At 36.8% G+C, this 17508-nt stretch overlaps 1 non-coding gene across 1 annotated transcript; it reads right to left on the bottom strand.

Moving 5' to 3' along the window:
- Window positions 1-16351: 16351 nt before the first annotated feature.
- Window positions 16352-16454, bottom strand: LOC124901206 (small nucleolar RNA U13). The gene has a single exon (XR_007059170.1). It is a non-coding gene; the product is annotated as a small nucleolar RNA U13 (small nucleolar RNA).
- Between the last annotated feature and the right edge of the window lie 1054 nt (window positions 16455-17508).

The raw sequence follows: 17508 nt of genomic DNA, 5'->3' as shown, positions 1-17508 counted from the left end.
GCATGTTTATTTTAGATTTTGAGATCCATGGGAGCGGGGACAAGGACAGGCATGAAATATGAAAAATTAGTGAATTATATACAAATGTAGAGGTAGGGATACAGTGCAACCATACATGCTTTTCACCCCTCAAGGAATATCAATGAATAGGGAATTGCATGATGCCCTATTAGCTTTATGTCAGACTAGATATGTGAGTTGATCCTCAGTTCTTAGAGTTCCATTTCCTGGAGGATATGAGGGGAGATTCTGGGACCTGTATGAAGGATCACGTTCCACTCCCAGTTATGGGGATGCATTTTCCATCTTCCTACATAACCACTTAAACCATTTTATTTCTCAACATCTACATGCCCACAACTGTCATGAATACTACTATGAAGACAAAACCAATAGAAGATACTATCTGTATCATTAAGGAGCTTAAAGTACAGTTGGGTAGCTAGCCCCAAATATAGCAAACACTAGAAACAAAAACAAGTGTGTAATCTTGTGATAGATTGGGTGGAAATGTACCATCTGGGACATTGGAGTACAAAGAAAACAAACTCCAGTATGTTCTGAACCTTAGGTTTCCCATCTGTAGAATCTATGCTAATGCTCACCTCACAGGATGGTTATGAAGAGTAAATGGTATAATTATTTGTTCTAACTAACAGTCGGGAACATTATATGTCCTTAATATACATTAGTGGAAACATCATTCAGGCTTGATGTAATTTAAAAATATTTTTTCCACACATTTATATGAAGATACTCTGTTACATGGAAATCAAGATATTAAGTGTACAATGATGAACAAAACGAAAGTGGATTGTATGTTCATAGAGCTGAAATTCTAGCTGGAAAAGAGAGAAAATAATTACATAAGTAAACAGAAAGAAAATATCAAGCAGTGATATATTATTCACAATTTTCAAAACCACAGTAATGTGTTGAAGAGAGAGAAAGAGTTACTTTAGACTGGGTGGTCAAGGGAGGCCTTCTGAAGGCATGATACCCGAAGGAGTGATATTAAAGCTGAAAGCTGAATAATAAGGAGCTAGCTACATTTTGATCATGTATGTTCATCAAAGGACAATTTAAAGACTTTCAGAAGTTCCTAATGAGCATACATTAGTTATTTATATGCTACTTCAAGACCACTGATACTGACTTCTCAAACAACGTATATCCATCTCATGATCTCAAGAAACCCAAACACAAGCCTAATGCTTTCTTGGGGAATCTCATTTTTCTTGTATGTGTGAGGGTATACTGCATGTGTGTATTATAAAATGCAATTATTTCTAACCTGCTTGATTTTCTACTTGAAATGATTATTCCATGCAATTGACCTGTCATCACAATGACACCTTTCAGAATGTTGAGACTTATTGACTGTCACATTTTTTATTTTCAACAATTGGAAGCATGTTATCTGAAGAGTATCCTGGTGATTGTCACAGGAGTGAACACAGTTCCATGATTCTTTGCGGGACTACCCTTCCACTATTTGTGATTTCCTGCAGCACATTAATGAAGTATTTGTGTGTGATGTTGCCTTGAATAACAGTTCTGTCTGTGGCCCCAAGTTGATCTGGGGATTTAAGAGATTGACAACAAAGAGAGTGTACTAAGACACATGTTATTACCTGACAGGGCAGCTGCATTTCCATGGGAGGTGACCAAGAAGGCTTCTTATGAATCCATGCTGACCTTATAGAACTCTCCCAGGTTTTGATAGTGTCCTTTTACAGATGTTACAAAGAGGTTCTAAATTTGTCATTAACCTCTCCTATAAAAGCAAAATATATGGAATACATAAATATACCATCAATTGCATTTAAGAAACTTATAAATAGGCCCCTTTTGTAAACTTAAGTCCAGATTATAAAATTAATATGGATTTATAAAGGTGTTTGAATAGGCTTGTTGGGACACAGCTGCCCAACAAGTTTGTAAGTAGGCTTTTTGTCATTCAACAGATCACTCTGTTGTCTAAATACCACTGTCATTCTGAATGAGGTAATATTTGAAGATATGACTTGGTATCTCCTTCTAGGCATAATTGGGGACTTATAATGCAAATGATAATGTAATATGAATACTGTTCTATATGTCCTTTTTGGTAAATTTTTATTATAATGATTATGCAGCTCTGTTACTGGCCCAAGGTCAATTCCAGGTTCCAGATTGCAAATGTTTTGTCCATTTTCACTCTTGACATGCTGCAAGATTGCTTTTCCACTGGGGACTGGATACCAGCGAAAATAATACAAAGCATTATGGGAACATGCGGTGCTTTCTTCCAGTGGCATGAAACTTCAAAGTGAAGAGACCGATGAGTCTCTGAAGAATCCAACTGCTGAAGTAGAGGACGAAGAACTTCTGCTCCTACCTAAATATAAAGACACATTTATGAATGAATACACCCAGATATGTTAACAGATTATGACAGTAGAAGAAGAGGTAACTGAAAGGACATCCACACCGAAAAACCCATCTGTACATCACCATCATCAAAGACCAAAAGTAGATAAAACCGCAAAGATGGGGAAAAAACAGAACAGAAAAACTGGAAACTCTAAAACGCAGAGCGCCTCTCCTCCTCCAAAGGAATGCAGTTCCTCACCAGCAATGGAACAAAGGTGGATGGAGAATGACTTTGACAAGCTGAGAGAAGAAGGCTTCAGACGATCAAATTACTCTGAGCTACGGGAGGATATTCAAACCAAAGGCAAAGAAGTTGAAAACTTTGAAAAAAATTTAGAAGAATGTATAACTAGAATAACCAATACAGAGAAGTGCTTAAAGGAGCTGATGGAGTGAAAACCAAGGCTCGAGAACTACGTGAAGAATGCAGAAGCCTCAGGAGCCGATGCGATCAACTGGAAGAAAGGGTATCAGCAATGGAAGATGAAATGAATGAAATGAAGCGAGAAGGGAAGTTTAGAGAAAAAAAGAATAAAAAGAAATGAGCAAAGCCTCCAAGAAATATGGGACTATGTGAAAAGACCAAATCTACGTCTGATTGGTGTACCTGAAAGTGATGGGGAGAATGGAACCAAGTTGGAAAACACTCTGCAGGATATTATCCAGGAGAACTTCCCCAATCTAGCAAGGCAGGCCAATGTTCAGATTCAGGAAATACAGAGAACGCCACAAAGATACTCCTCAAGAAGAGCAACTCCAAGACACATAATTGTCAGATTCACCAAAGTTGAAATGAAGGAAAAAATGTTAAGGGCAGCCAGAGAGAAAGGTCGGGTTACCCTCAAAGGGAAGCCCATCAGACTAACAGCGGATCTCTCGGCAGAAACCCTACAAGCCAGAAGAGAGTGGGGGCCAATATTCAACATTCTTAAAGAAAAGAATTTTCAACCCAGAATTTCATATCCAGCCAAACTAAGCTTCATAAGTGAAGGAGAAATAAAATACTTTACAGACCAGGAAATGCTGAGAGATTTTGTCACCACCAGGCCTGCCCTAAAAGAGCTCCTGAAGGAAGCGCTAAACATGGAAAGGAACAACCAGTACCAGCCGCTGCAAAATCATGCCAAAATGTAAAGACCATCGAGACTAGGAAGAAACTGCATCAACTAACGAGCAAAATCACCAGCTAACATCATAATGACAGGATCAAATTCACACATAAGAATATTAACTTTAAATGTAAATGGACTAAATTCTCCAATTAAAAGACACAGACTGGCAAATTGGATAAAGAGTCAAGACCCATCAGTGTGCTGTATTCAGGAAACCCATCTCATGTGCAGAGACACACATAGGCTCAAAATAAAAGGATGGAGGAAGATCTACCAAGCAAATGGAAAACAAAAAAAGGCAGGGATTGCAATCCTAGTCTCTGATAAAACAGACTTTAAACCAACAAAGATCAAAAGAGACAAAGAAGGCCATTACATAATGGTAAAGGGATCAATTCAACAAGAAGAGCTAACTATCCTAAACATATATGCACCCAATACAGGAGCACCAAGATTCATGAAGCAAGTCCTGAGTGATCTACAAAGAGACTTAGACTCCCACACAATAATAATGGGAGACTTTAACACCCCACTGTCAACATTAGACAGATCAACGAGACAGAAAGTCAACAAGGATACCCAGGAATTGAACTCAGCTCTGCACCAAGCAGACCTAATAGACATCTACAGAACTCTCCACCCCAAATCAACAGAATATACATTTTTTTCAGCACCACACGACACCTATTCCAAAATTGACCACATAGTTGGAAGTAAAGCTCTCCTCAGCAAATGTAAAAGAATAGAAATTATAACAAACTATCACTCAGACCACAGTGCAATCAAACTAGAACTCAGGATTAAGAATCTCACTTAAAGCCACTCAACTACATGGAAACTGAACAACCTGCTCCTGAATGACTACTGGGTACATAACGAAATGAAGGCAGAAATAAAGATGTTCTTTGAAACCAACGAGAACAAAGACACAACATACCAGAATCTCTGGGACGCATTCAAAGCAGTGTGTATAGGGTAATTTATAGCACTAAATGCCCACAAGAGAAAGCAGGAAAGATCCAAAATTGACACCCTAACATCACAATTAAAAGAACTAGAAAAGCAAGAGCAAACACATTCAAAAGCTAGCAGAAGGCAAGAAATAACTAAAATCAGAGCAGAACTGAAGGAAATAGAGACACAAAAAACCCTTCAAAAAATCAATGAATCCAGGAGCTGGTTTTTTGAAAGGATCAACAAAATTGATAGACCGCTAGCAAGACTAATAAAGAAAAAAAGAGAGAAGACTCAAATAGACACAATAAAAAATGATAAAGGGGATATCACCACCGATCCCACAGAAATACAAACTACCATCAGAGAATACTACAAACACCTCTAAGCAAATAAACTAGAAAATCTAGAAGAAATGGATACATTCCTCGACACATACACTCTCCCAAGACTAAACCAGGAAGAAGTTGAATCTCTGAATAGACCAATAACAGGAGCTGAAATTGTGGCAATAATCAATAGTTTACCAACCAAAAAGAGTCCAGGACCAGATGGATTCACAGCCGAATTCTACCAGAGGTACAAGGAGGAACTGGTAGCATTCCTTCTGAAACTATTCCAATCAATAGAAAAAGAGGGAATCCTCTCTAACTCATTTTATGAGGCCAGAATCATTCTGATACCAAAGCCGGGCAGAGACACAACCAAAAAAGAGAATTTTAGAACAATATCCTTGATGAACATTGATGCAAAAATCCTCAATAAAATACTGGCAAACCAAATCCAGCAGCACATCAAAAAGCTTATCCACCATGATCAAGTGGGCTTCATCCCTGGGATGCAAGGCTGGTTCAATATACGCAAATCAATAAATGTAATCCAGCATATAAACAGAACCAAAGACAAAAACCACATGATTATCTCAATAGATGCAGAAAAAGCCTTTGACAAAATTCAACAACGCTTCATGCTAAAAACTCTCAATAAATTAGGTATTGATGGGACGTATTTCAAAATAATAAGAGCTATCTATGACAAACCCACAGCCAATATCATACTGAATGGGCAAAAACTGGAAGCATTCCCTTTGAAAACTGGCACAAGACAGGGATGCCCTCTCTCACCACTCCTATTCAACATAGTGTTGGAAGTTCTGGCCAGGGCAATGAGGCAGGAGAAGGAAATAAAGGGTATTCAATTAGGAAAAGAGGAAGTCAAATTGTCCCTGTTTGCAGATGACATGATTGTATATCTAGAAAACCCCATTGTCTCAGCCCAAAATCTCCTTAAGCTGATAAGCAACTTCAGCAAAGTCTCAGGATACAAAATCAACGTACAAAAATCACAAGCATTCTTATACACCAATAACAGACAAACAGAGAGCCAAATCATGAGTGAACTCCCATTCACAATTGCTTCAAAGAGAATAAAATACCTAGGAATCCAACTTACAAGGTATGTGAAGGACTTCTTCAAGGAGAACTACAAACCACTGCTCAAGGAAATAAAACAGGATATAAACAAATGGAAGAACATTCCATGCTCATGGGTAGGAAGAATCAATATCATGAAAATGGCCATACTGCCCAAGGTAATTTATAGATTCAATGCCATCCCCATCAAGCTGCCAATGACTTTCTTCACAGAATTGGAAAAACTACTTTAAAGTTCATATGGAACCAAAAAAGAGCCCGCATTGCCAAGTCAATCCTAAGCCAAAAGAACAAAGCTGGAGGCATCACACTACCTGACTTCAAACTATACTACAAGGCTACAGTAACCAAAACAGCATGGTACTGGTACCAAAACAGAGATATAGATCAATGGAACAGAACAGAGCCCTCAGAAATAACGCCGCCGACCTACAACTATCTGATCTTTGACAAACCTGACAAAAACAAGCAATGGGGAAAGGATTGCCTATTTAATAAATGGTGCTGGGAAAACTGGCTAGCCATATGTAGAAAGCTGAAACTGGATCCCTTCCTTACACCTTATACAAAAATCAATTCAAGATGGATTAAAGATTTAAACGTTAGACCTAAAACCATAAAAGCCCTAGAAGAAAACCCAGGCAATACCATTCAGGACATAGGCATGGGCAAGGACTTCATGTCCAAAACACCAAAAGCAATGGCAACAAAAGCCAATATTGACAAATGTGATCTAATTAAACTAAAGAGCTTCTGCACAGCAAAAGAAACTACCATCAGAGTGAACAGGCAACCTACAAAATGGGAGAAAATTTTCGCAACCTACTCATCTGACGAAGGGCTAATATCCAGAATCTACAATGAACTCAAACAAATTTACAAGAAAAAAACAAACAACCCCATCAAAAAGTGGGCGAAGGACATGAACAGACACTTCTCAAAAGAAGACATTTATGCAGCCAAAAAACACATGAAAAAATGCTCATCATCACTAGCCATCAGAGAAATGCAAATCAAAACCACTATGAGATACCATCTCACACCAGTTAGAATGGCAATCATTAAAAAGTCAGGAAACAACAGGTGCTGGAGAGGATGTGGAGAAATAGGAACACTTTTACACTGTTGGTGGGACTGTAAACTAGTTCAACCATTGTGGAAGTCAGTGTGGCGATTCCTCAGGGATCTAGAACTAAAAATACCATTTGACCCAGCCATCCCATTACTGGGTATATACCCAAAGGGCTATAAATCATGCTGCTATAAAGACGCATGCACACGTATGTTTATTGCGGCATTATTCACAATAGCAAAGACTTGGAACCAACCCAAATGTCCACCAATGATAGACTGGATTAAGAAAATGTGGCACATATACACCATGGAATACTATGCAGCCATAAAAAATGATGAGTTCATGTCCTTTGTAGGGACATGGATGAAATTGGAAATCATCATTCTCAGTAAACTATCGCAAGAACAAAAAACCAAACACCGCATATTCTCACTCATAGGTAGGAATTGAACAATGAGATCACATGGACACAGGAAGGAGAATATCACACTCTGGGGACTGTGGTGGGGGGAGGAGGGGGGAGGGATAGCATCGGGAGATATACCTAATGCTAGATGACGAGTTAGTGGGTGTAGCGCACCAGCATAGCACATGTATACATATGTAACTAACCTGCACAATGTGCACATGTACCCTAAAACTTAAAGTATAACAAAAAAATAAAATAAAATAAAGAAAAAGAAAAAAAAAAAAAAAGAAGAAGAGGTAACTTGTATTTGCCGGGCAGATTTAGTTTTAGATCGTGTATTCCCCTTGGACTCCTGTATTCATGTGATGTAATGGCTTAGAGTTAGACTAGTTCAAAAATATGTTGGCAGCAGTAAGTAATCATGCATGCATGATCTGCAATTTTTACCTTACCTTACTTACTAATAAAAGGAAGCTTTTCAAAATAAAAATATTTATATTTTAGATCTGTGATAGTACAGTGCTTAAGAGTACTGAAAATTAATTTAAATAGGCCTGTGTTCAAGTTCCAATTCTGACATTTATTAACTGCATAACGTTGGACATTTCTAAATTTAGTCTTTTTATTTACAAACCATAAAGAGAAATAGCTATGTCAAAGTGGGTATTAAAATAATGAAATATAGCTAAAGGTTCCTGGTAAAATTCCGAGTTTATTTCGGTGTTCAGTAAATGGTATTCATAATATGGTCGTTGGCATGTAGGGAAGATTTTAGAAGGATTGCTGCTACATTTAATTCCCATATAGCACCTCTTATAATACAATTCTTCGTGCCATTTCCTCTTTCAAATTTTCTCTGTTTCTGTCTCTATACACACATACACGCATATACATGTAATTTTAAAATTTACATTCTGGCTTTCATCATGGCAGGATTGTTCTAACAATTTTCTAATGTCATCTTTGGCTTCTCCATCTTTCCTCCTTCTCAAATTCACTTTACACACTGACTCATTCAGTTTCCTAAAACACAATTCTCATGTTTTTTTAAAAAAACTTCACTAATTTCTCTTTGATTACGAAATGAAATTCACATTTCTTTTGCTAACATTCAATGTTCTTAGTGGTAGTCACACCCTCCTACTGCCAGGGATCAGCTACATTCACCTGTGGTCTTTGTAACTTCAAAGTCGCCTGTTTCTCCTGCTTCCTTTTGTGCCACTCTCATTTTGAAAAGCTTACCTTTCCTAGCTTCACCCATGCCATGCTCTGTCCTGCTGAGGACATTCCTATAAACTATTTATACTACCCAGAATTCTCTCTAGCATTCTAGGATTATTGTGTCCTCTGAATCCTTGCTTTGCACTTAAGAAAAGTCATTCTACAAGTTTGTCTGTTTCACCCTATTGCACATAGGTCCTCCAAAGCCAATTTTAGCGTGAAGTTTAATGTGCAGGATGTATATTATGGAGTTTCCTGTAGTCAATACTTGTAGAAGGCAGGCTAAAGAAACAGGATTGGGCCAAGGGAGAAGTCAAAGTGCAAAACAGGCCCAACAACAACTTCCGCTAACCCCATAGGGAACTCTAGAGCTAAAATAAGTCATCACAATTTTCCTAAATGAGGCTGAAGTGGCCTGGCCTTTATAATCTTGCTTCAATCTATCAGTTTATATGGACCCCTGCTCTGAAGGGTGTGAACTTGACCAAGGTGGTTCTCTGAAGCTTAAGCAACTTCTGAAAGGCAAACGCATGCAGGCTGTGTGCTGACAGCACTCTCAATAGCTGGGACAAGTACTTTATTGAGGATCTGGGAAGTGCATTCCCCTATACATTACATATCCAAAAAGCAAAGCTAGCTAACTGAGCCCAACAACATGATCTAAGTGTTTTGTATCTTCTACTGACCAGAACCAACTCACTGTGTCAAAAACAGGGGTCTGTGTCCCATGCTGGAGAGCAGAGATCCCCAATTGTCAGCAATCTGTGTGATGAAGCATGAACAGGGGAATGAGTTTTATTCTAGAAAATGACCTTCTTTATATCCCATGGAGAAGTGGAAGAAGCAGCAAGGTTATCACTGAAAAACAAAGGGCTCCTGTCCATAGCCATGTAGTTTAGTATTTATTTAAATGCCAGAACAAATCCTGCAAAGTTTAGGGATATAAATCAGAAGTGCATTTTTCTTATGAACTCTGCCTTTGCCCTAACAGACCCCTGATAAGACAACTTATCACCTCAAAATATCACACAATTACATTTCTCCCTCTAGAATACTATTACTAATGACAATTTCAAATAGCTTTTTGAGAGCCTTAACCTTTTCAAGGGTACTCATCACATTGATCTCTCAATAGTTTGAACTTCTGTATTCTCTCTGAGTTGTAATATTTTATGGTGACATTATCCATCAGACAATTAAGTGTATTTATCTGAAACTGAATTCATGCATAGAGAACATCAGTCCTCTACTCAAAAACTCCACTGGCTGTTCAGTCATTTTAACATCTCTTTCAATATGTATTTTCAAATGCTTGAAAAAAAAACCTCTTCGCATTAGATTTCTCATTCTGCAATCAAATAATACCAGATGGTTGTAGTCAGTATCAATGATTTATTGTTTTGTCATTATGACTTCTCAATCCAAAAATTTCAATAAATATTTGTGACAAGGCACTGTAGTGGACACACTGGGGTATACACATATAAACACAATACAGACCTTGGATATTTATTGAATTGATTTGTGGAATCGATTTCTGAGTTTGTAAGAGAAATAAGATATGTATAACACATTTATGATTCAATAAGAATGCTAGTCCTGTTGACTGAGGGCTTGGTAAAGGCTTCATGTTGAAGATAGCGTTAAAGTTTGGCCTTAAAGATTGGGTGGTGATTACGTATTTATGTACATATATATTTAAATTTTATAGGTAAATAACTTCATTATAGCAAAATTAGGAAAAGAAGCTGAAATAATAATAAAATAAAACTTATGCACCATCTCACTATTCCTACTTTGATGAATCCTTTACTTTATCTATGCTTATCTGTCAAAACTATCTCAAAATTTTTACTCAAATCAGAGGACCTTCATCATTTTTGTTGCTGCTTTGGTACTCAGCAAAGACTCAGAGTTATAGCCATCTCTTCTTTCCTTTATTATGATCATAGCTTGTTTTATGATCATAATTCTACTTTTCCTATTATGGTTTACATGTGTTTGGATTCTATATAAAAGGTTACATTTTTATTTCTAGATGGCAACAGATTTAAGATTCAACCCAGGAGTGAATATCTTACTCAGTTTATTAACCTCTCTGCACAGGAAATTGGGTATGTGACTTTCTGTGATCCTGAACTCAACTCGCTTGCAAATAGTTGTCTCCCTCCTGCAATGTACTCTAAGATTTATCAGAAAATTGAGGTTTATCTGAAAAAAATGAAGTTTTCATATTATATTCTAAGTTGAAAGTCAACACTCGAGTAGAACATAAATAGCTAATTTCCCAAAATGCAACAATGGAATAAGAAATCAGGTGCATAATCATTAATCACCAATGATTCTCTTTAGTCATCTTTCTTGATTTATAGATTTTAATTTTTTAAACTTCTAAATTAGAGTATGAATAACATCTGAAGTATGCCCAAAATATGCTCAGTGCCTTCTAATTTTAGAGTGATTTCCCACATAATATCTCTTCAACCTCACAATGAGCAGGTAAAAAGATGCTATTCTCTTAATTTTACATGTGAGAAAAGGGAGATGTTGAAAAGTCATGTGAAAATTCATTGTCAAATAGCAAGTTCAGTGTGAAGCATGGACTGGGAACCTGATCTGTAGCTTCATTTTAAATGTGCTTCAGTAGTTTTTAGATGCAAAAATCAACCAATTTTCTTCTCATTTTTGCATAACAATATCTGGTGAATCATCTCAGAAGAGGAGCATTTTCGTAACTCTCACCTGAATGAACTATTGTTTAAATGCTATTAGTTATTGGCAGTGGGCCTGAACTGAAGTGCTGACATATGGGAATAGAAAACCTTTTTGCTCCTTGCAGAAAACATTCATTTTTCCTGGCAGCATATCTTCAAGGTAGCTGCTGGATGGTGTTAATAAGCTCAGAAGGAAGTATCTAGAAGGGTGACAAATGTAGGTGTGAAATCCAGCTGCTTCTGATATGAAATAAGACCTGTAGGTACCAAAGAGCTCTGAACCGAGAGAGAGCACTGTGACTCACGGCATTTACTAAAACACAGCTGAAGTTACCTTAGGGGTACTAGGTGAAACATGCCAGTTTAACTTCTGCAGTTTTCAATGTGACTTTTCTCATTTTACAGTAAAAAGGACAAAAAGTCGGCAAGTTCATAGAAAAACTTTCGGGCCATATTTTTGACAATTCCACATGAAAAAATTATTAAATTCAAATCCAAAGTTATCATGAAGCCTTCACTGTCTCCATGAGAACTAAGTGGAAAAAATAAATAGCAAAGGAAACAGGAGTTTAGGAAAAGTGATATCGTGCATATAAACATTTTAGAGGTCTGAAGCAACCCAAAATTTATTTCTGAAAGGATAAATTGCAAGTTCCATCTTAGGATACAGTGGGTGGTAACAAAGATGATTGAAGAACTATAAAATAGGATGTATATAGAAGATAAAAGTATTTGAATAATTTAATTGGAGAAAGACCTGGCTAAGGATGACAACAACTTTCAAGTAGGTTGACTATTTCTTGGATGATGGTAATCATTTATTTCTCAATTTTCCTGAATCAAGAACAATTTATACAGTTTTAAACGATAGTGTGAGGGTTATAGTAGGATGTAAAAATGAACATTTTAAAATTTAGCTAACATATATTGAATGCTTAGAATTTTGTATATTCTCTGATAAATATTGGGGTTATAATTAAGAATGTTTGGGCTAAACTGTATCCCCCAAAAAGATATGTTGGAGTCTTAATTGTGAGTATCTGTGAATGTGACCTTATTTGGAAATAGAGTTTTTACAGATGTAATCAAGTTAAGATGAAATCATTAGGGTGAGCCCTTATCCAATAGGAATAGTGTCCTTATAAGCAAAGGGAAATGTGGACACAGATGCACAGAGAGAGGAGAATGCCACGTGAAGACACAGAGATGCTCATAGAGAGAAGGCAATGTAGAGACATCACCTCATCCACAGGGAGGACAGCCATGTGAAGATGGGGACAGAAACTGGAGTTATGCTGCAGTGAGCCTTGGCTGCCAGAAGCTGGGAGAAGCAGTGAAGATCCTCCTCTAGATTCTTCGCAGAACACATGGTCTGGCCAAAACCTTCAGTTTGGACTGCTAGCCTCAAGAACTGTGAGACAATAAATGTCTATTGTTTTAAGCCACTCAGTTTGTAGTACCTTGCTACAGTAGCCCTAGCAAATGAACACAATGTGTAAGACATTATTTTTGGCTCTGAGAATGCAAAGCCTAGTGGGTAAATCAGAAATGGTGTATTTGTAGTCCAGTGTGTCTATAAGGCCTCCACGCAACGTGCAAAATCCTGACTTTCCCTCAGATTCATCTCATAGGCTACTACTTTCTCTCTATGATACTTTTGATTCTCACATAATTTAAAACTGATTTATTAAAATAGTATGTATCCCTTTGAATTGCAAAGATGTGTTTTGATGTTCACTTCTCAAATATCTCCTGTGAATCCAAACAGTATTTGGCACAATTCATTGAATAAGGAAGAAATGAATAAAGGTGAATTTAAATGTAGATCACATTCAGTGAAATGGAATTCCCTTACACTCAGTATGAAAAACCATCTATAATGTACAAACTACATGCTTACTTACTTTTTATTAAATTCAGTGTGATAAGTGCTATAATTAGCACATGGACAAGATACTTAGGAACATAGAGGTTGAAATAATTAACTTGGACTAGAGGAGTCAATTGAGAGGGGCTTAAGATGCTTCTGAATTTCTGTTATGAGAAATATTATAAAGTGTTGTCCATACAAGTGACAGATGTAATATCACCCCAGCATTTCCCTTCTAGTTCAAGGAAGGTCAATTTTGTTAATGTGTCAGCTATGATTTTTGAGGCTAATATCAGAAAAATCTGCAGTTGTTGTTGTTGTTGTTGAGATGAAGTCTCAATCTGTCACCCCGGCTGGAGTGCAGTAGCACGATCTTGGCTCAGTGTGAGCTCCATCTCCCAGGTTCAAGCGATTCTCCTGCCTCAGCCTCCCCAGTAGATGGTATCGCAGGCATGCGCCAGCAGGCCAGCTAATTTTTTTTTGTATTTTTAGTAGAGCTGGGGTTTCACCATGTTGGCCAGGCTGGTCTCGAACTCCTGATGTGTCCAACACATCAGATAATCAGTCTCTAGTCTCCGGAGCTATGTTAGATGGAGAGGTGACAACAGTAAAGATATGCAGGGCATTGCAGTGAATAATTTCTTCCTGACTGGCGGATTGCCAGCTCTTCTAAATATTAAGCAGGTTATAATCTGAATCCTCCAAACCCTTCTGAATTTTTGAGCTCTAGCTAACTTTCTGCTATTTTGGTTTGTCCAATGCTTTCTATTAATTTAAAGAGTAATTTTATTTGGACTTTGCTTATATGCGATTTCACAGCCACTTTTCTTTCGTCTTTTTTAAGCAAATTTTAATTTGAGAAAGTAGTAATTGATGAAAATGAATGGAGGAGCAAATGTGGAAATCCAGAAACTGGCCCATATGTATGACAGGTGGCAGAGAAAAGCCAGACTGAAATTGAAAAGAGGATACAGATAATCCACAGAGATAAATAAGAAATTTTAGAATAAGGAAAATTTAGTCTTTGAAACCATTTCCAGGAATAATATTAATAATATTTTACTTGTATATAACTTATAAAATGTTTTGCATGGTTATATCATTTGACATCTATGATAATACTATAAGACAGTCATTATGCTCATTTAAAAATGAAGAAATCAAGGATAAAAGAGTCTAAGTGATTTACCAAAATTCACAGAACTAAAATTGTCCCACAACAATGACTTAAACTCCAGTCATCTGATTTCAAGGATATGCTTATATCATTACACCCCAGTGATAAAATAAGCACCATGTGATCATATCTATAATGTTGAAATTGAAGTGAAAAAAATTCATTCTGGCTTCCTAATGACTTGCAGTGGGTAGTTTAGTTTTCAAAGCCGCATACCACCTACTCCTTGATACTACAAAAATGTGTCAGCTGTTTAAGCATCCTAAATGGTTAAAAAAATCCTAAAGCCCCATAAATGGAAAAGTCCCCTTTATCTAGGGGCCTCGTATATTCTATGTTGTGCTAGAAACATACACTTCAACAGCCATAATTATGTTTTAACCAAACCCTTAGAGAAGAAAAAGTCATGGCAAAGGTGAAAGATCGGTGCTGGGAGTAGTTGGGCAGTACACCCCACTAGGCAACCATATCGGTGCTATTTATCTCATTTCTAATGGATTATTTTTATGCATGTTTGTATACATGCCTGTGAGTTTATGCATACGTGAAGCTGAGGGAAACACTTTGTTCAAAAATGCATAATGATTGTATAGAATCTCTGAGATGGAAGAAACCTTAGAGATCATGAAAGAATACAGATTAGAAACTTTCCTCCTTTCAAAGACAAACCATTTTAAAAATAGTCTAATTATTTTAAACTGTATACTAAGTTTAAAATCTATCTCTGTGTAATCCAATTGTCCCAGTTTGGCCCTAGAGGGCTTTACACTCTGTTGACAATTCTTCAAATATGTGAAGATTGTTATCATTCATTGCCCCTTATAAGCCTTGTCTTCCTCAAGGAAAATATTTATAGTTCTTTCAATCACTCCACATATGAAATAACTGCCCTTATATTTATGTACTCCATATTGTTGCAGACCCCTTCAAATGTGGCATTTATCCCAGTGACAACCACACAGATGTGTTCATTCTGACGCAGCATTTAGTGGAAGGATGACTTAACTTATTTAAATGCATTTAGCTCTTGGGAGAGCTATGCCTCAGTGCTAATGCTTATTGGATTTATTCTTAAAGGAATCTATATCCTTAGTATGTGAACTGCTAAGTCATTTTATACTTGCAGAGTACTTTTGAGCTTAAAGTCACTTTCCATTTAATATTTTTAAATTTCCATCTTTATAATTTCAGCTCACGATTTTAGTCTGCCCAGTTTTTCTGTAATTTCACTTCTCTTATCTTGTGAAGTCACTTCCCTGCTCACATTTGTGTCATCCACAAAATTGATGAGGACACATTTTCTATCTTTGCTTTTTGCGGTACATGGGGTAGTACCCAAGTGAAGCCTTTATTGGCCTTACCTGAATAAACAACCATGTAAGGTTGCAGGCAAGATATGAATCAAAGCTTTACAGGTAATATTGTTTAAGCAACATCAAATCCATCTTATGGTACTGTCTTCTGGACCAAATTATCTTTCATTTTACTAATTAGTGTGCTAGTGCCTTTGTCTAACACTAACCACTCTCCTATTGTTTGATAATGTCATGGTCATATTCTTTTAAAGTGTGACAGTTTCATTTAGCAATATGTTTTCTTAGCTAGAAAGTATATTTCCCAGCCTCCTTTGTAATTTGTGTGGCCATGTTACTATGTCTGGTCAATGGGATGAGAGTCAAATCATCTATATATTTTCCTTCTCTTCCCACTTACTGGGAGATGACAAGTGAAGCAGTTCCCTTGGACCTGATAGAAGCCGCATATCAATTACGGAAGTCTTTATTGCCTTCTACTGTCTATTTCCACATTTTTAGGCAACTTTAATACAGCTGCTTATATCACAGATAGCAGGTGAGAGAGAAGAATGATCAAGTGTTTGATATGTGTACTATTTCTTTATCTTCCAATATAGCAATTTTATCATTCAATAATAATTTATGCCAACAAATACTTCTTTTTTTCCTAAGTTCATATCAGATGGATAATGCATCAACATCATAACAAGGTTGGAGGGAAGCACATCTCACAATAAATGTGAAAACCCTATCATCCTGTTTATGAACTACAAAAGGATCAATAGGTACTTCTCTTACATGTGGATACTTTAGAAAGTGTTATCTATCAGTCATTCGTAATCTGATGTATAGGAATATAATCATAGAACACAATAAACATATTGTTGACAATAGCAGAGCTCAGAATAATCAGAATTTAGACTGTGGATGAGTTGGATGAACAGCAGATATTTAGTTTTGGAGAATAGAGTACTTGGTTAAGAGTGTCATTAGGTGAAATTAGTAGATTTGCATAGCTGTAAATAGGCCACTATCAGGGCCCTGTGTGATTGAATGAAAAATAAAAAGGCCAAAGTTCAGAAAAATAAAAATTAGCAGGATCAAAAGTTAACTCTGGTTCTTTTGCAGTTTTGATCAGAGATCTACTTGTATGCATTGCATTTTTGGATCACATTCTACATATAGGGAAACATAGGTCACCAAAGCCTAGTTTTGGCTTTTTGCGGCACAAGGGGTAGTGCCTAATGAGAGCCATAAGGAAAATCTCGCAGGCTAGAAACATTAGTCAACCCCAACTCAGCCCAGGCCCTTTGTCTAGTAGACATACAGTGGTGTCTACTCTATACCAGAATTTACAGTTTGAATTTAAAGAAGGATAAGGAGAGAGAGGGAAACAAAACAAAACAAAAACAGAATAACAACAGAAACAATGAACAGAGGGAAGGAATATTTACCAGACACTGCTATTGGAAGGAAATTCACATTATTTTGTTTATATGACTCCTCACCTTGATTCTACTTCTCCATTTCCTCTTCTCTATTTTAATAAAGATAGGCCTTTCAGGTTTCTCTTTTTAGTGACCTATGAAACTTATTCTGATGTATGTTAATGAAAAAGTTGTTGCTTGAAGTGTTGAAGTTATTTTAGTGCACTTCTGACAATGAATGCTATTTTTCAATAGAAAGAGAATTTGCAATTATGAAATTAGAATAAGCAAGCAGACAATGCCATTTTATCCTAATAGTGACATGTAATATATTACCATGCTAAAAGTCACCAGTATCAACACGTCACTTTGAAAGAATGAAGGTGCGTGGTTGAACTAGAAGCAA

This window comes from Homo sapiens, chromosome 5 (genome assembly GCF_000001405.40).
Source record: "Homo sapiens chromosome 5, GRCh38.p14 Primary Assembly".
NCBI classification, from domain to species: Eukaryota; Metazoa; Chordata; class Mammalia; order Primates; family Hominidae; genus Homo; species Homo sapiens.
Note: the sequence above shows the minus strand (reverse complement) of the source record. Positions and strands in the feature narration are given on the sequence as shown.